Source organism: Homo sapiens, chromosome 2 (genome assembly GCF_000001405.40).
Source record: "Homo sapiens chromosome 2, GRCh38.p14 Primary Assembly".
NCBI lineage: Eukaryota > Metazoa > Chordata > Mammalia > Primates > Hominidae > Homo > Homo sapiens.
The window spans coordinates 27,943,550-27,964,002 of NC_000002.12; the positions used below are offsets into that span (position 1 = coordinate 27,943,550).

A 20,453-nucleotide genomic window follows, 5' to 3' on the forward strand; every position below is an offset into this window, starting at 1 on the left:
GAAGTGCTCTCTATTTAGGAGGCTCCCTAGACCAGTTCTCTTCTAGTCTGCAAGAATGCTTGCAAGGAGAGTAGGAGTTAACCATTTTTACTATGACTTGCAACAGTTGAGCTAAGTAAAAAGTTGGATGCTGTCTAGGGACTTAGTATTTTGCATCATGCTGAGAGGCATAATTTTACTTTTATTTTTGTCTTTTAAAAAGATTCATTTACTTAAAGATTGTTATTATCTAGCATTTAAGGTATTTTTAGAGGCTAATTGTGGAGGCAGGTCACCTTTGATTTAGTGAATGTTCTACAAAATGCTCATTGAAAGGCAAGTAAAGAGTGCTAATTTTCTGGATTAGACATTCTCTCTCCTTAGATATTCAGGATTCCTTTGTCTTGGAGTTTTAGAATATTTTATTTTCTTGGAATTCATGGGTTAGAAGAAATATATTAGGAATAGCAACTAATATTATTAATTTAAATTTATAAAGTCAGTTTAATTATAGCTATGTATTATATATAATCTGTCTTTGGTACTGATTATAGTTTATTAAAAATGACTGATATGATTACTAAATTAACTTATTGGGCATTTTATGGTTAGGCTTATTTACATGCATTATTTTATTTTATCGACACAATAACTCTTAGGTCAGAATTTATATCCCACTCTTTAATATCAATTTTATTGAGGTAGTGTAATTTACATATAATAAAATGTACCCACTTTAAGTGTACAGTTCTGTGTGTTTTGGCAATTGTAAACACTTAAAACCACACCATAGTCAAGATAAAGAACATTTCCATTCCCTAAAGGTATAGAACATTTCCTTACCCACACAAATCGGTCCCCTCCACCACCTTCCTCTTAACCCTGAGCCTTTTCATTTCTCTAAAACTGAAACAGTTTTGCCTGTTTAGAATTTTATATAAATGGAATAATATATTATGTAGTTTTTGGTATATGGCCTCTTTCAGTCAGCATTATGTTTTTGAGATTCATCCATGTTACATCAGTACTTTGTTCCTTTTATTGCTGTATAGCACTACATTGTATGGCTGTACCACAGTTTTTTATTTATTCATCCATTGAAGGACATTCGGATTTTTTTTTCTATTTTTTGGCTATTATGAATAAACTTGCCATTACATTTTTGTACGTGTCTTTTTCTGGAGATGTGTTTTAATTTTTATTGGGTAAATACCTAGCAGTAGTATTACTGTGTTGTTAGCTGAGTGTATGCTTAACTTTTAAGGGCTAAACTGTTTTCCAAAGTAGTTGCACTATTTTACATTCCTGCTAACAATTTATGAGGTTCTAGTTCTTTTACAGTCTTGCCAACATTTGGTATTGTTGATCCATTAGTTTTTCTATATTCTTGCCAGTATTGGTATTGTTGATCCATTTTGAGCTACCTTTTTTTCTTGCCAACATTAGTATTGTTGATCCATTTTGAGCTACCTTTTTTTTTTTTAAAGACAGGGTCTCACTTTATTACCCAGTAATAAAAAGCCTGTGGTGTAGTGTAGTGGCACAATCATAGCAATCATAGCTCACTGCAACCTTGACCTCCTGGGCTCAAGCAACCCCTCCTGCCTCAGCCTCCCAAATAGCTGGGACTACAGGCACATACTACCATACCTGGCTAATTTTTATTTTTTATTTTATTTTTGTAGAGACGGGGTTTCACTGTGTTGCCCAGGCTGGTCTCGAACTCCTGGCCTAAAGTGATCTTTCCACCTTGGCCTCCCAAGGTGCTGAGATTACAGGCATGAGCTACCATGCCTGGCCTTTGAGCTACTTTTGATCATATATTTGTTAATTAACAATTTAAGTGTGGGTCTATTTCTGGACTTTATGTTGTATTCCCTTAATATGTCTATCCTTAAGTGAATACAACACGATCCTGACTACTGTAGCTTTATAGGAAGTCTTTAAATAAGGTAGTATAAGTCCTGTAACTTCTTTTTCAAAGCTGTTTCGGATATTCTAAGTCCTTTGCATTTCCATAGAAGTTTTAGAATCAGCTTGTAATTGTTTACAGAAATCCTGCTGGGAATCTGTAGATCAGTTTGTAGAGAATTAACATCTTAACACTGAGTCTTCCAAGAGATAAAAATGCTAACATCTCCATTTATTTAGGTCACTTTTAATTGCTCTGAGCAGTATTTTATAGTTTTCAGTGAATATATCTTAATCCAATTTTGTTAAATTTACCTCTAAATATATCATACTTTCTGATGCCAATTTATAGTAGTGTGGTTTTTTTTTTTTTGAACTTTGTTTTCCTGAACTCATTGAAATGTAATTGATTTTGGTATATTTAACCTTGTATGCTGATGCTGCTATGTCCCTAAATTTACTTATTAATTCTAATAATTTTTTTGTAGATTCCTTAGGTATTTTCTTCAACACATTTGCTTGTGAAAAAGATAGTTTTGTATCTTCCTTTCCAATCTATATAATTTATATTTCTCATTCTTGTTTTATTGTACTATCTAGTGCAGTAGACAATACCTAATAGCCAGTGGCAGGTAGAAGTGGTGAAGTCAGACCTTCTTGCCTTATTCGCAGTCTTAAGAAGGTAGTTAGTCTTTCATCAGGTGTAATTGTCAGTTCTAGGTGCCTTTTTATCAATCTAAGGAAGTTCCCATCTATTTTAGTTTGCTGAGAGTTTTTATTATGAAAAGAATGTTAATATATGTTAATTTTTTTTCTCTGTCTACTTGGTTTATTTCTTTTATTCTGTTAATATGATAAATAAACTGATTTTCAAATGTTGAACCACTGTTGCATTCTGCAGATTAATTCCGCTTGATTATTATGTATGATCCTTCTGATGTATTACTGGAGTTGATTCACTCATGTCTTTTTAAAGAACTTTGCATTTCTGTATTTGATGCTGTATTTCTTTTCTTTACTTTTAGTTCTTTGCTTGGTTTTGGCACCAGAGTAATGCTGTGTTTATAAAATAAGTTGGGAAGTATTCAGTCCTCTGTTTTCTGAGTTTGTGAAAGATTGATTTTATTTCTTCCTGAAAGCTTAGAAGGTTAGAATTCACCAATGAAGCCATCTGGACCTGGAGCGAGATAGAGAGAGAGAGAAAGAGAGGCGAGAGAGAGAGGAGAGAGGAGAGAAGAGAGAGGAGAGGAGAGGAGAAGAGAGGAGAGAGAGAGAGAGCAAGAGAGAGAGTGAGCGAGAGGGAAGGTTTTTAACTATAAATGCAATTTCTTTAACAGATATAGGGCTAACAGGTTTTTAAATTATTCTTAAGCGAGTTTTTACAGCCTTGTCTTTTAAGGAATTTGTTCATTTCATCCAAGTTGTTGAAATTATTGGCATACCGTTATTCATCTATTTCCTCCTTATTCTTTTACTGCCTGTGTGACCTGTACTCATTTCCCCTTTCATTTCTGACATTGGTACATTGTGTCTTTTCTCTGCTTTCCTTGATGAATCTAGCTAGAAGATTAACAATTTTATTTTTTTTTAAATAACCAGCTTTTTATTTCATAGATTTTTCTTTATTATTCTCCTGTATATTTCATTGTTTTCTGCTCTTTGTTTATGCTTGAAAATGTCTACCTTTTAAATGGAGTGTTTAGGTAATTTAATCTTTAACCTGATTGCCACTATGGCTGGATCTTGCTGTTTATTTTCTAATTGTTATGTCATCTGTTTTTCATTTCTTTTACTGCCTTCTTTTGGATTAATTAATATTTTAGGATTTTATTTTGTCTCTACTGTTGGCTTCTGAGCTATATGTCATTGTTTGATTTTTTTCCCCCATGGCTGTTCTAGTGTTCAGAATACATATCTTTAACTTTTCACAGTCTACCATTAAAAATACTATAATACTTCATTTATCATGTAAGAACCTAACAATATTATATACTTCTTTTTCCCCTACTCAACTCCTCTGGCCATCCTTTTCTGCTATTATACATTTCATTTCTTTATATGTGATAAATTGTCTTTAGCAAAATGTTCAAACCTTTTGCCTTTTTAAAAAATGGATTCTTATCATTGAGTTTTGAGAATTCTTCATATATTTAGGTTACAAGTTTTTTATCAGATGTATGATTTGCAAATATTTTCTCCCTGACTGTGGCTTGTCTTTTTATTGTCTTAACGAAACTGCCTAATTCCATGCCACAAAGATTTTTGTACTATGTTTTCTTTTAAATGTTTTATAGCTTTAGGTTTTATGTTCAGGTTTGTGATCCATTTTGAGTTTATTTTTGTATACGATACAGGTTTTTAAAAAGTATGGACATCCACATATTCTAGTATCATCTGATGAAAAGAATGCTCTTTCTCTTTTAAATTGCCCTTGCACTTTTGTCAAAAATTAATTTCCCACATATGTGTGAGCATTTTTCTTAACTTTCTAGTCTGTCCTGTAGGTCTATATATCTAACTTTATATTGAAACCACAGTTTTGATTGCTGTAGTTTGATAGTAAGTTTGGAAATCAGGTGGTATATATCCTCCAATTTTTATTCCTTTTTTTTCCAAAATGGTTTGGAAATGTTAGATTTTTTTCATTTCTCTATAAAATTTGGAATCATCTTGTCAATTTTTTAGTTTTCTATGTTATTAGTATTCCATGTACAGGTTTTGCACTTCTTTTTGTTTATTAAATATTTAATATATTTTGATGCTGTTGAAAATTATATTTTTTAAATTCTAAATTTCTGATTGTTTATTGCTGATATATAGAGATACAGTTGATTTTTTTTTTTATCTATTGATGTTATATCCTTGGTAAACTCAGGTTTGAGTTACAGAAGTTTGTCTGTAGACTCCATAAGATTTCCTACATAGAAAATTATGCCATCTGTGAATGACAGTTTTAGTCCTTCCTGTCTAATCTGAATGCCTTTTCTTTCTTTCCTGCCTTAGTGCACTGACTAGAATCTCCAATATTTTGTTGGTAGAAAAGTGTTAAGGCTGGGTGTGGTGGCTCACGCCTGTAATCACAGTACTTTGGGAGGCCGAGGTGGGTGGATCACCTGAGGTCAGGAGTTAGAGACCAGCCTGGCCAACATGGCAAAACCCTGTCTCTACTAAAAATACAAAAATCACTTAGGCATGATGGCGCATGCCTGTAATCCCAGCTACTTGGGAGGCTGAGGCAGGAGAATTGCTTGAACCCGGGAGGTGGAGGTTGCAGTGAGCTGAAATCACGCCACTGCACTCCAGCCTGGATGACAGAGTGAGACTCCACCTCAAAAAATAAAAAAAAAAGTTTTAAGATTAGATATTCTTGCCTTGTTCCAGATTTTAGGGGAAAATAATTCTGTCTTTCACCATTAAGTATTAATATTATGTTGGCTATGTATTTTTCAGAGATGCCCTTTATCAGACTGATGAAGTCCCCTTTTATACCTAGTTAGTTGGGGATTTTTTGTTTTGTTTAGTTTTTTAAAATCAGGAATGGTCAGCCACAGTGTTGTCCTGTGGGGAAGGGAGACAGATTTGTAAAACCAAGAGCTAAGGTCTGCCTACCCCAGCCTGCTGCTGTGCGAAGACTCTCAGGGGAAGCCACTGTCACCATGTCTGACCAGCAGCCAAAACCTTCAACTTAGGACTTGGGGAATAAGAAGGAAGGCGAGTACATTGAACTCAAAGTCACTGGACAGGATAGCAGTGAGATTTACTTCAGTGAAAATGACAGCACATCTTAAGAGACTCAAAGAATCATATTGTTGGCTGGGAGCGGTGGCTTACGCCTGTAATCCCAGCACTTTGGGAGGCCGAGACAGGCGGATCACCTGAGGTCAGGAGTTTGAGACCAGGCTGGCCAACATGGTGAAATCCTGTCTCTACTAAAAATACAAAAAATTAGCCAGGCGTGGTGATGGGTGCCTGTGATCCCAGGTACTTGGGAGGCCGAGGCAGGAGAATCGCTTGAACCCGGGAGGCGGAGATTGCAGTGAGCCGAGATCGCACCACTGCGCTCCAACCTGGGCGACAGAGTGAGATTCCGTCTCAAAAAAAAAAAAAAAAGAATCATATTGTCGAAGACAGGGCATCCAGTGAATTCACTGAGGTTTCTCTTTGAAGGTCAGATAATTGCTGATAATCATACTCTAAAAGAACTGGGGATGGAAGAAGAAGATGTGATTTAAGTTTATCAGGAACAAACAGAAGGTCATTCAACTGTTTAGATATTCTTTTAATTTTTTTCTTTTCCCTCAACCCTTTTTTATTTTTAAAAATAGTTCTTTTGTAGTGTGGTGTTGAAAAGGGAATTGAAAACTGGCACCCATCTCTTTAAAACATCTGGTAATTTGAATTCTAGTGCTCATTATTCCGTATTGTTTGTTTTCATTGTGCTGTTTTTTGGTGATCAAGCCTCAGTCCCCTTCCTGTTGCCCTCTCCTTTTTAAAAATTATATGTGTGCACAGAGAGACCACCTTTTTCAGGACTGTACATTTTCTGGCTTGTGGAGATAAATAAGATTAACCAATGCAAGTGTTCGTAATGAATTTCCAGTTGGCCCTGAAGTTCTAGATTCACTCCTAGACTTCCAGCAGGAGACGGATGTTTTTCAGAGAAATCAACTGTGGAAAAATGACCTTTCCTTAACTTGAAGCTACTTTTAAAATTTGAGAGTTGAGAACAAAAAATATCAGGTTGAAGTCAAGATGACAGGTAACATGAAAGCAATAACTAACTCTAAAGATGGCTTCAGTGAAGAAAAGGCATTTTAAGATTTTAAAATATCTTGTCAGAAGAACCCATAACAGTTCTAATTTTCATTAGCAATTAATAAAGTTATTAATGTAGAAATGACTACCACAGAAAAAAATCAACAATGGATGTTAGATTTTGGCAGATACTTATCTTCATCTATTGAGATGATCATGTGGTTTTTCTCTTTTAATGTTATTAATATGGTGGTTTTCATTCATTGAATTTTGAATATTCAGTCTACCTTGCATTCCTGGGATGAACTGATTGTTTTGATGTAGTGTCCTTTCTCTATATTGTTGGATTTAATTTGCTAAAGTTTTTTTAGAGTTTTTCATTTATATTCATGAATGATATTGGTTTGTAGTTTTATTTGAATGCTTTTTCCTATTTTTTTCCTCATAGTAAAGCTGGCTTCAGAATAGAATGAGTTGCTAAGTGAACCCTTTTCTTCATTTTTTTCAAAGGTTTGTGAAGAATTCATATTATTTCTTCCTTAAATGTTTGGTAGAATTTGCCAGTGAAACCATCTGGGCCTGGAGTTTTCTTTGTGGGAAGGTTTTAAAGTACAAATTAAATTTGCTTAATAGATTTAGATCTATTCAGATTATCTACTTCATCTTGAATGAGTGTTGCTGATTTGTGTCTTTAAAGGAATTTGTCCATTTCATCTAAGTTGCTGAATTGATTGACATAAAGTTTTTCATAAATTTTTTTTATTCTTTTAAAAAAATGTGTAAAATTTGTAGTGATGTTACCTCTGTGTTTCCTGATCTTGGCCATTCCTTTCTCCCCCGCAACTGTTTTCTTTGCCAGTCTGGCTAGTGGTAAAGAAAAAAGTGGTAAACATTTACTCATGTTGTGGAAGAACCAGCTTTTGGTTTCATCCATCTTCTCTGTTGTATTTCTGTTTTCTGTTTTATTGATTTCCATTCAGATTTTAAATATTCTTTTACTTTCACTTGCTCTTCTTTTCGTAGTTTATTAACATGGTCATTGATTTGAGATCTTTCTTTTTTCCTAATATTGGTGTTTAATGCTATAAATTTCCAGCTAAGTGGTGTTTTAGATGTATCCTACAAATTTTGCTGTGTTGTGTTTTTATTTTCACTCATCACATGTTCTGAATTTCCCTTAGATTTTTTTTGACCTATGAGTTATTTAGAAATATGTTATTTGGTTTACAAAATTTTCTGGATCTTTTATTGAATTTGAATTTAAGTTTATTGTGGTCAGAGAACATACTTTGTATGACTTACATCCTTTTAAATGTATTGAGATTTGTTTTATGGCCCAGGATATAGATTATTTTAGTACATGTTCAATGTACACTGAAAAGAATGTGTTCTATTTTTCTTTGGTAGAGTGTTCCATAATAGCAATTAGGTCAAGTTGGTTAATAGAGTTGTTCAAATGTGATCTATTGTTACTAATTTTCTTTTTGTTATTTTAGTTTTCAATTTTTTCAATTTTTTATTTTTCCGTAGGTTATTGGGGAACAGGTGATGTTTGTTTACATGAGTAAGTTCTTTAGTGGTGATTTGTGAGATTTTGGTGCACCCATCACTGGAGCAGTATACGCTGCACCCTATTTGTAGTCTTTTATCCCTCGCCCTATTTTAGTTTTTTAAAGAGAGATACTGCAATCTCTGACTATAATTATGGGTTTATGTTTAAATGTGTACCATATCTTTATTGAGCTTCTGCATCATTCTTCTATCAATTATTGGAAGAAGGATATGGAAATCACAAACTATAATTGTGGATTTGTCTACTTCTTCTTGCTGTTCTGTCATTTTTTGCTTCATTTATTTTGAAGCTCTGTTATTAAATTTGTAAACATTTAAGAATGTTATGTCCTCTTGAATTGACACTCTTTGTCCTTGGAAATGTTGTTTGCCTTGAAATTAATTTTACACGGTACATCTTTTCCATTGTTTTATTTTTAACCTATTTGTGTCTTTAGATTTCTTTTGAGTAGCATATAATTGGATTTTACTTTTAAATCTGACAGTCTTTGCCTGTCAATTGGGATGTTTAGACCATTTACATTTAATGGGATTATTGTGTGCTGGATTGATGAGTCTACATAGTGTCAAGAAATGCTTACATTTCTATTAGTTATCTTTGTATTTCAGAGTGATTCCCTTTTTGCAAGTTTATGGCACTGGTAATGCTGTCTTCATATCAGAAAAGACAGGACACATACTTTTTCAGAGTTGGTAAAGCAGAGATTTAAAAATTCTGGCCTGGCCTCATAATGAAGGGTGTTTAGGAAACTAGGTGCTTAATGGAAGTATCCAGAGGGCACCAATGTATTTATGTTTGTTTTGAACTATTCTTTTTCTTTATTATTCTGGCTCTTAAGGGCATTGAACTGTTCTCATCTCTGGGATATTTGAGACAGAAGTTGGCATAAGACCTTTTGGGACATATTATGGGTGCTCCAAATGTTACAGGCACTCCAGACCAGTTTGGGATGCATAGCAGGCTTCATGTAGCATTATCCGACCACTGATCTCCGTTGATTTTCACTAGGTCTGCTTCAGGGGAAACAATTGTGTATTGAAATTAAAAAGCAAGACTTCTGTCTGATATAAACAGCCTAATTCTTCATAGAATAATTCTTTTAATACTGTTCCCAGGCTGCTGTCAAACCTCCAATTTATTGAAATCTTTCTTCACATTCCAGAGTTAGGCAAGATAATTAACTTTTGATTCTTTAGCCAGTTCTATATTGGCACGTGAAAAAGAAAACCAGTAGTGGCTCTACCCTTCACACTTCTCTCTCTCTCTTTTTTTGAAACAAGGTCCTGCTGTGTCGCTCAGGCTGGAGTGCAGTGGTATAATCTTGGCTCACTGCAGACTCGAACTCCTGAGTTTAGGTGATCCTCCTGAGTAGCTAGGACTACAGGTGTGTGCCACTATGTCTGGCTAATTTTTTATTTTTTAATTTTCTTTGAGACAGAGGCTTGCTCTGTCGCCCAGGCTGGAGTGCAGTGTTACAATCATGGCTTACTGCAGCCTTGAACTCCTGGGCTCAAGCAGATCCTCCTACCCCAGGCTCCCAAGTAGCTGGGGTGGGAGGAGCCTGAGCTCCTCGCCTGGCTAATTTTTTTACTTTGTATAGAGACAGGGTCTACCTGTGTTGCCCAGGATGGTCTTGAATTCTTGGGCTCAAGTGATCCTCCTGCCTTGGCCTACCACAGTGCTGGGATTACAGGCATGAACCACCGTAGTGACAGAGTCTCTATATGTTGCCCAGGCTGGTTTCGAATTCTTGGGCTCAAGTGATCCTCCCTCCTCGGCTTCCCAAAGTGCTGGGATTATAGGCATGAACCACCGCACTGGGCCCACACTTCTCTTTTGATACCATCTACATTAATATCATTACCAACGATCTCACCAAAAAAAAAAAAAATATTTCTTTTTTTCTGCCTTTGGCTACAGGGCTAGCTCGTAAAAGGAAGGGAACAAAATGTTTAAGTATGATCATGTTTTTAGTGATGGAAAATTAAAACCATTAAAAAATAAACAATGAAAAATATGGCAAAATAAGAAGGTGAATGCCAGAAGATTAAGGAAGTTCTAGAGAGTTTTGCAGATGTGGGATTTCAGATGAAGACCAGATACATCTAATTTGTGAGGGGAATAAAGAGACAGGTAAGAGAGATGGGTGGGAATAGAGCTAGCCTGAGGAGAAAGAGAAGGAGATTAAAAACAAAATTCGTATCCAGTCTGAATAAAATTTGTTTCATCCCTCCTTGGCCCTTAGAAATTAGAGTCTTTTCATATTATTGTCTTTCTATTTGGTAAGCTGTGTTTGATAGCGGTGCACAAACTTGGGCACAGAAGCCTGAGTTTGTGGGGTTGCATTCAGTGTATAGAAAAGTTACAACTCATTTCTAGTTAGTTCTTCCTTTGTACTTATGCCTAAACCTCTCCATCTGGAGAAATGCCAGCTTGCCACTAAATTTAAATAAATAAGAACATGTCTCATCAATAGGGGCGGCAAATTTAGCCCCTCTTTAGAGCACTGAGCAATTTATGACCATATGTTAAATACCATAAAACAGCTTTAAAGATTTGGTCGCTGGCCATTGCCAGATTGCACCGTAGGAGTGCAGCAGCACTGTGAGGGACTGGGAATGCTTCCTCCGGCCCTTGGAGGCCTCAGCAACTCACTGATGTCACAGCCAAAGAGGGCTGTTTTCAAACATTCCCTTTATAAAGGTGAAATACTAAAAGATTCCATTTTGGCATTTGGGAGCAAAGAAGGCAAGACTTCTTTTTGATTCTTAAGGGTCAAAATTAGTATGGAAAGTGTTGTGTGGGAGAATGAGTAACTTGGCAGCAGTGAGTACAGAAGGCAAGTCTAGAAATAGGTAATAGATATCCTACTCATCCTTTTTCTTGGAGCATGAACTGGACTTTTATGTGGCATAAGCCGACCAAATATCACGTTTCTCAATCAATTTCTTTTTGCCAACTTTCGTCGAATTAATATTAATGTTAAAAACAATTTTTAAAATTTCATGCCAAAGCATTGCCAATTGTAAGGCTTTCTTTTCTTCCAGAAATATGACTCACTATTTGGTGAACTCCAAATATTAGTTTTTCTTCTTACCACCATGACAGCCTGTGAATCATTTATGGCATTCAGTGGGCTCGTGGCTGAGAGAATGAAGGTGTGTGCCAGCAAACATGTGATTTTTGGTCAAGTAGTGCTCTGGGACCTTCGATGGGCTTTTAACACATGTGAGGAAACCAGTGGTTCAGGCAGGGGGCAGTATTATTAAATAGTAATAGACACCAAAAAGCTTTGTACAAGATTTTTCAGACTGCTCTCTCAGAAATGTAACTCTTCCTACAAAGGAAGATGATGAAATTTGGCTGTCAAAGGTCCAGGATTCCTAGCCTTCTTGAATCTGTAGTTGCCAGCCCAAGGGCTGATTTCCTGTCAGTTCCTGTGTGGTTTGCACTACATCCTCTTTGCAACAGATCAGTATTTTAGGTCATCCATCATAACTGCTCTCCTGTAAGTTCTTGGCAATTTGATCTCAGTTTGCAGAAGGCAGCTGGCATACTTTGCTAGGAAGTGCAGCTGGAGAGCTCCTGTCTCACTCTTCCTAAGGCCAGGAAGCACACTATTGTTACTCATTGCTGCTTTCTTCCTTTAAAGAACAAAAAACTTCAAACTTTGGCAAATTCTAAAGTTACTAGGTAGCAATTTGAAATTACTCTGATCGTTTTGTTGGTCTAGGGCAAAAACTTGAGTGATCTTTTATATCATTTGTAAATCTTGTCTGGTTTTTCCATAACACAGATATGTGCATTAGTGGAAGTTTCCTCCCCATTGCAAATGAAGTTATGCTTGTCTTCAGAGTCACACGGGAATTTTTAGTTTTATTTTGTTTTAGGCTTTGATTGTCAAGGACAGTAACATGGCCTAATTTCTTCTCTGTGTTTTATTCCCTTAACATTGAGATTTTTCTATTCCTAATATCAGCATTGGGTAAGACTATTTACCTTGGGTATGACTTGAATATTTGCACTGGATTTTCAAACTATACGAACAGAGATAGTTAAAGCACTTTTTTTGGACTATTTAATGTTAAAATAAAAGTATCGTTTTAGTGTTTCTGATTTCTCATTCCATAATGGGTGACCTATGTTGTGAGATTTAGAAAAATGAGCAATTTTCCTCCTTTCTTATGACTCACAGGTCACATTTTGGCAACATGTTTTTTTTTTCCTGTAGAATGGTGATTACCTTTACCCCAGTTCACCTAAGAGAGGAACCTGTTTATAAAGAGGATACAACCTCATGCATGAATTATTTTAAATGGTATTCTTAATAATCTATGATGGCACAGATCTTTTATACTTCTGAGTTGTCTTCTTTTCATCTTTACGAAAACCATATCTTCTGTAGAGTTAAACAAGATTATTAATGTAGCTCTTGGTTTCTTTTATGTTCTGGTTCCTAACATAAATGAAGGGAAAGGAAAGATAAGTTGTGCTGCTTTATAGAAAAATAGTAAACTTTTTGAAGGCCAAATTTATGTCAGATTTATGGGTATCAAGCAATAACATCATAGAAACACCCCAAATCCTGATAGTGCGCTAAGGATGGCATGAAGGAAGAAATTTTTGGATTTGAGATATGAAAGAATTTGATGTCCAGATTATTTCTATCAAACCAAATCTTTAGTCTCTAAAATAATATATTGTTAAATTCTAGGAGCAAGAATCCTCTGTGATTTCCAAGATCTGTTGCCGATGACCCACACAGTAGACAATCAGGAAATGTTTATTAAATGAGTGATACAAAGGCACTAAAAGATGATGTCTTATGTGGAAATTCTTAATTGGAAGGACACTAGGTAATTTTGGGAATCTTCCAGTGGGATAAGGAAGTATCTAAAGATTTGAAAAGCAGCAGCATAGTTTCTGCATTAAAGAAAGTAAAAGATAATTATGAAGGTTATATAGAGCAGGTTGACATACATATTTAGAAAGAACTCAGAAAAAGAATCACAAAAGTAGTTTGCCAACATTTGGACTAGTATAGGACTAACCAATTTTGCTTTGTAAAAAACAATTCTTAATAGATCAATTCTTATTACAGAATGATGAGTATAGTACATTGGAAGCAAAAGATAAATTTAATTTATCCCAATTTTAGCAGAGCTTTTGATTCTGTCCTTGGGATGAATCTGATAAGCAAATCATGAAATGATTATTTAGACACAAGATGTGTTGCTCGACAGTATGCCTAAAGTATATCATGACTAAGGAATGAATGCTACTTAATGTTGAAATCAGACGCTTTGGTCATCCCAGTGTAGAGCAAATTGCAAAACTGTTTCTTCTCTGGCTAAAAAAATGTTGGTTATTGTCTTCCTGTTTCTCCTTTTTCTGTTTTCTGCAACATTATCTCACTACACTTGGGTAAAACAAGTGCCAGGCAATTGCAGGGATGACAATCTCCTGTAGAAAGAAAAGGATCCACAATTTTCAAAGTACTTTAATTCATTCATCTATGCACCAGTTACTATTGAGGACCTACTCAGTCCAAATTTTGAAGTACAGTATTTGATGGCCTCCATTTTTTTTGGCACCATCATAATCTTTCCAGCATTCTCTTTACCCCATTTTCTACTAAACCAGATTGCCTTGATAGCCTGTCCTTAAGCTCACTTTTCAACACTATCTGCTATTCTTCAACATTCCTTGAGCACATAATTTGCTTTCTACCCTCTAAGTTTTGCTTCTTTTATCTCTGCCTAGAATTACCATCTCATTATTTCTTTATCTAAGCCTACTCTAGACAGCACTAAGAGTAGACATTTTAAAAAAGAATTCGGTAGAGCATGATTTTAGATGAAAAGGAAGTAGTAAGTTAAGTAAGAGACTGTAGCAGACTGTGTTTTCCAAAGATGGCCACAACAGCATTTCCCATTCCACATGCTCTTCTATACCATGACCTTACCACTCCTCCAGGTATAATTTTCCTCCTCTTGAATCTGGGTGGGCTTGTGATTATTTTGGCCAACAGAATATGATGCTTATTATGCCGTATGACTTTCAAGGCTGGGTCATAAAAGGCAATGAGGCTTTCATCTTACTCTAGCAGGAATACTTTTGCTTGGAGCCCTGCACCACTGCATAAGAAGTCTGTCTATATTGAGGTTGCCATGCTGTCAGGTAGCCAAACTACATGAAGAGGCCACATGTAGGTGCTGCAGTTGTCAGTTTTTATCTTGGAGGTTTCCCAGCCCAGGCATCAGAAATGTCAGTGAAATTGTGTTCGGCCTTTCAAACTGAGCACTACCAGCTGAACACCATTGAGTGATCTCAGTCAATGCTGTGAGGAGCAGAAGAATCACCCAACTACATTCTGCCTATATTTCTAACCCACAGAATCTATGAGCATAAGAAAATGGTTGTTTTAAGCACTGAGTTTGGGGTAGTTTTGTAGGTGGCAGTAGTAATTGGAATGTAGACCCTGAAGAATAGGAGTGGACAAGAGCCTGTAGGAGGGTGGAAGAGATGGGGAGAAGAGCAGAGATATAGAGGTTAAGTCTCCAGAGGGAGAAGGAAAAGACAAAAGGATTAGGAAAGAAATGGGTGAATATTGAGGAGAAAGGGTGAGGAATTCACAACTGATGACAGTAAACAGCATTTAGTTTTTTCAAGAATTCCACTGGCTGCTTTATATATTTTATATATATACATATAAATGTTTATAAATGTATATATATAACATATATACATATACATATATGCATAAACTTATATATGTTTATATATACACACACATATATATGTATATATGTATATTTAGTTTTTTTTTAATTTTTATTTTTTATGAAGTTGAAGTAGAGCTCACCTGCCAAGAGGTAGAAGGTCTACAAAGGCCTGGCTGCTTGGTGGAAAGTATTGAAGATGGTATAGATGACTGACCTTTAGCTTCTTGCCTAACAAATACTCTTGTGAGGAAAGACAGACAGAGGCTTGGCATTTTGTCATTAAGTGTGAGTGGTCTGCCTTCCTTGGGAGAATTTGCACACAGTATACACTATCAGTGTGAAGTACTTTGAGCCCTGCAGAAGAAGGAGAGATGGTTTTTTCCAGAGGAGTGCCTTGGGCTCAATGTGGCTCTGTGTTCGTGAGTTCTGAATCTCAAGATAACTTGAGGAATTTGAATAACCCAAAGCCACTTGTAGTTTTGTGAAATGGAAGGACACCACCTTTAGAGTGGGTACTTAGATTTTAAGTGCTTTCTTGAGAGAAGAAGGCAACAAATCTCCAGTTCTAACTATGAAGCTTTAGAGAGCTTTTGTCCAAATTGAGGACTCAGCATGAGTTGCTAATTGAGTGGCAGAGTTGCTTCTATAAAAGTAAGAATTGTTTTCTGTAGCATCCAGCAATCTGGTCACCAACCACATGCGAGTCAATGTATTGTTTCTGTGAAGGATTACATGCTCCTTGTTTAAATATGGTCCTAAGAGCCTAGGAATCCTGCAAGTTTTAGACAGACAGTTTTCCATTTAGTGACATAAGATACCTAATTAATTGTTGGAATCTTTTAATTAATGTTTCATGAAGAGAGATGCTGGAGAGCCTCATTAAAATACTATTACTGGATAAAAGAACAGTAGTTTCATGACAGGATAACTGTGATATATCCAATCTTTATGTAGTCTAGTCAGAAGATAGAATTTGCTCCTAGGTTATCAGGAGTCTAATATATTTCACTTTTAATCTCTGTCACATGCTTCTATTTCAATATTTCTTAATGTTCTGTTTTTTTTTTTCCTGCTGTGTTGGAGTGACCTTGGCACTTCTGAGATGTTGTGACTTGTGTTTGCTTCTTTCTCTACTTCTTCCCTGAAAACTGCAATACATGTAGATAACTCGCTGTCACAGACACTGCTTGATTTCCTTCTGTCTGACTTGCGTAATTTTCCTGGCAGAGGCACAACTGTCTTTGTCCTTTGTTATCATCAACTTACATTTAAACTATCAGAAAAAATTGCCATTTTGATGCTATTGCTTTTGAAAAACTGCTCATTTTCTTTTGCTTGATTTTTTTTTTTCGTACTTTCAGTGAATGTTGGCTAGAGCTTGTGTGTCTTTAACCGTTTTTACTCTGGTCATAGTTTTATTTTTATTTTTTAGTCTTTTCATTCATTGCTTCTGAAAAGCATTTTTTATGTCTACTTTTGAAGAATTCTGATTGCTTCATCCTAATTTTTCAGCATCTTAATTTTTCATTCATTTCAATAGATTTTTTTCCCCACTTCATCTTCTGTGGATTACTGGACTTGCTTTTGTTCATTGTTAGACTTATTGTTTAGATCTGTCGTGTGTGAACTCAAAGGATCCTTCATACCATTTTTTTTACATCTTTCTTATCCAGTTACTGGGCATTTCAGAGTTATTTGACAGTAGAAAGTATTCAGTTTTTTTCATGAATTCCACAGGCTAATAAACTTGATTTTCACAAAGTTTGTGAAGGCGGGTGGAGTTTTGCACAGACTTCCAAGCACTATTTTGTGGGAGCTAAAGTATAAGGCATAGTCCAAGATTGCCCTTTGTGTGCAAGTTTGATTCTGCTGCTAGTGCTCTGGTTTGTGCCTGTGTGTGCAGTCAGCAAAAGACTCATTGTTAAACAATGAACTCAGAATTCAAAGAAAGATTGGTGTGGTTTTTTTTTTCTCCCCAGCTAGCATTCTGTGGTTATTTCTACTGATTTTTTGGCAAGTGTTGCTTGTCTGTGTCGAGCTGTGCCACATCAGCCTTAAGTTTCTACTTTGCGTAGCTCAGCTAGGAATTAGAAAGAAATATTTACAGTCATATAACATTTCGTATTTTCCAAAGTAGTTTTACTTAAAATGATCTCATTTTAATCTTCCAACAACTTTCTGAGGGCTGGCTGTCTTGCTTTACATATAAGACAGGACCACAGAGCCTAAGTGACTAGCCTGAGGTCAAATAACTGGGAGATCAGGGACCTGGAACTCAAGTCCAGGACTTCTGAGTCCCAAGCCCAATGCTTTTTCCACTTCACATGTTAGGAAATAAATATCATCTTTATTATCATACAATAATAACCTGCTTCTCAGTATTAGTAGATAAGAGCAAATCAACTGCTTATGATGAGAAATAAGGATAAGCAATGGCTTTGCTGAATAGGAAGCAAACACACTATCAGATGCTAATGCCTTCTGCCATACATCAGCTGGGGAAGGTGGTGGTCAGTTGGCATTGGGAAGTAAACTGAAAAACTTCCATTATTGTGTGGCCATCTCTTAGACACTTTAGGAGTAACAACTTGTGGTTGGTTATTTTTTTTTTGTTTCTGAGGACAGAAATCACCTGCAGAAATTGGTGAAGACAGGGTGAGAAGTTAATCAGGCTTATGTGAGACAAAGGCTCAGTTTCAGCTTTGAGATGTAGAGAATAGTCCTAAGTGCTTTATTTTGCTATATGTGTTTTTAAGACAACAGACGGTCCGATCCTCAAACTTACAATGGTTCAACTTAGGATTTTTTCCCTTTGCGGTGGTGCGAAAGTGATACACATTCAGTAGAAACTATGCTTTGAGTACCCATGCAACCATTCTGCTTTTCACTTCCAGTATAGTAGTCAATCAATTACATGAGATAGTCAACACTTTATTATAAAATAGACTTTGTGTTAGATGATTTTGCCTACCTATAAGCTAATGTAAGTGTTCTGAGCACATTTAAGGTAGGCTAGGTTAAGCTATGATGTTCAGTAGGTTATTAAATGCATTTTTTACTTAACAATATTTTCAGCTTATGATGGGCTTACTGGGAGGTAACCCCATTGTAAGTTGAGGAGTATCTGTAGTTAGCATGTGATTGTATCTTCTATGCCTTGACCCAGTAATATGGATTTGTGATTCACTTCTATTACCTGGCCTAATACATCTCTAATTCCCTTAATTATCTTTTTTTTTTTTTTTTTTTTTGAGAGAGAGGGTCTCACTCTGTCACCCAGGCTGGAGTGCAGTGGTGCAATCATAGCTCACCGTAACCTTGACCTCCTAGGCTCAAGTGATCCTCCCATCTCAGCCTCCTGAGTAGCTGGGACTACAGGCATGCACCCCCGCATCTGGCTAATTTTTAAATTTTTTTTGTAGAGATGGGGTCTCACTATGTTGTCCAGGCTGATCGCAAACTCCTGGGCTCAAATGATTATCCTGCCTCAGCCTCCCAAAATAGTGAGATTACAGGCGTGTGCTACCATGCCTGGCCCCCCTTAATTATATCTTTTTGATTCATAAGTTAAACAACAGTTTTGAACTACTTTCTAAAATCATTTGGAAATTTTTGTTTGTTTCTTTTTTTTAAGAAATGAGATCTCACTCTGTGTCACCCAGGCTGGAATGTACTGAATCATAGCTTGCTGCAGCCTCAAACTCCTGGGTTAAAGCAATCCTCCGGCTTCAGCCTCTCAAGTTTCTGGGATTACTGGTGTAAGCCACTGCATCTGGCTAATGTTTTAATTTTTTATGGAGACAGGGCATTGCTTTATTGCCTAGGGTGGTCTCTAACTCCTAGCTTCAAGGGATCCTCCTGGCCTCCCAAAGTGGTGGGATTACAGGTGTGAGCCACTGTGCCTGGTGGTTTTTCTTTAATGTGGGAAATATGAGGGAAGGAAACTTAAAGGTCAAGATAATAAAGTGGACCAGATACGTATAGCTAAACTCTTTGAGCATTTGTGAGTGAAAAAATTGGGTTTTCATTTTCAAATGTACTTAAAATGTATTTAGAAATGAAGTTATCAAAAGATTTTAACTGTAGCTTTTGATTTAAATAAGTACCCAGTTTTATTTTATGAAACAGAAGGGATCAGAAAGAAATTTGATATGGTCAAAAGCAAATTTAATTAAAATAGAATATTAGCTCTTCAAGCTACTATTTTGCTATAGTACCTCTTAAGAAACATGGGTTTGTCAGAATTTATGTCATCTTAATAATTAACTGAACTGAAAGAACTGCATATGTTTTTAGAGCTAAAGACCATTTGATGTCATCTAATTTACTACCTATTGTAGCAATTGCTTTAGTAGTGTTCTTGGTAAATGCATATGTAGCTACTATCATTAAAAAGAATATTATCCACGAGACAACATTACAGTGCTCATTCAAAAAATATTTTTGTCGTAGGAACAAAACAACTTTATTTTCTTATTTGCATTGACAGTTTTATGGTACTGAAAGGAGCTCTCAGCAGAATTCTTATTTGAACTAATTAACCATACCAAAATTCCTTTTATAGTGTTGATCTTTTTGACAAGTGGAATTACTAGAATTACCACAGTAATCATCTGGTTGAAGAAATTGTGGATAATGGCAGCAGACTATAGATGAAGGAAATCGTTGTCCCAATATTTAAAGAAAAGAAGGAGAGGCCAGGCAAGGTGGCTCACGCCTGCAATCCCAGCACTTTGGGAGGCTGAAGCGGGTGGATCACCTGAAGTCAGGAGTTCGAGACCAGCCTGGCCAACATGGCAAAACCCCGTGTCTACTAAAAATACAGAAATTACCTGGGCTTGTTGGCGCATGCTTGTAATCCCAGCTACTCCAGAGGCTGAGGGAGGAGAATTGCTTGAACCTGGGAGGCAGAGGTTGCGGTGAGCTGAGATTGCACCACTGCATTCCAGCCTGGGTGACAGAGAAAGACTCTTTCTCAAAAAAAAAAAAAAAAAAAAAAAAGAAAAAGAAAAGAAGGAAGGATATATTCTTAAAGGATTCAGTAAATTGTCTGAGAGCATTTAAAACCTGTTATATCTTTAGTAGCCAACATGGATTTACATAGAAGCAAGTTATACCAAACTAGTCTTAACGGTTTTTTAATGGTAGATCAGCTGACATAGCAAATCATTTCAGCAGAAAATTTAACAATTTCCCTCTGATGTCTTTCTAGATGTTTCATATGTTATTATACCAAAATATAGTTAAGTAGATTTGCAGTAAATGGAACAATCATTGGAAAATCTCAGATGAAATACTCTAGGGTTGTATTTTTGACTCTGTTTTATTCAACATTTTTCTGAGTGATATAACATACTTGTTCAACTTGTGGAGGACTCAAGTTTAAAGAGACAGCTACTGTGACATATGACAAAATTTCATTCTATCCCAGTAGGTTAGTACGTTGGTTTGGAAGCAGCAGGATGTAATAAGAGTAAAGTCCATTGCTATGGTTTGAATATGGTTTGCCA

At 36.0% G+C, this 20,453-nt stretch overlaps 1 protein-coding gene and 1 pseudogene across 14 annotated transcripts in view, besides 1 other annotated feature; both read left to right on the plus strand.

Annotated features, from left to right (window-relative positions):
* BABAM2 (BRISC and BRCA1 A complex member 2) overlaps window positions 1–20,453 on the plus strand; it is a 450,193-nt gene that overhangs the window by 54,841 nt on the left and 374,899 nt on the right. The gene's annotated exons all lie outside the window — the stretch shown is intronic.
* Window positions 5,547–6,158, plus strand: LOC100422227 (small ubiquitin like modifier 1 pseudogene; annotated as a pseudogene).
* Window positions 16,013–16,307: a silencer, noted in NCBI's record as "tiled region #3162; HepG2 Repressive DNase matched - State 8:EnhW, and K562 Repressive DNase unmatched - State 9:DNaseU". NCBI's record gives its function as "represses a minimal TATA promoter and a strong SV40 promoter by Sharpr-MPRA in HepG2 and K562 cells {active_cell/tissue: HepG2 | K562}" and the evidence as "EXISTENCE:reporter gene assay evidence [ECO:0000049][PMID:27701403]".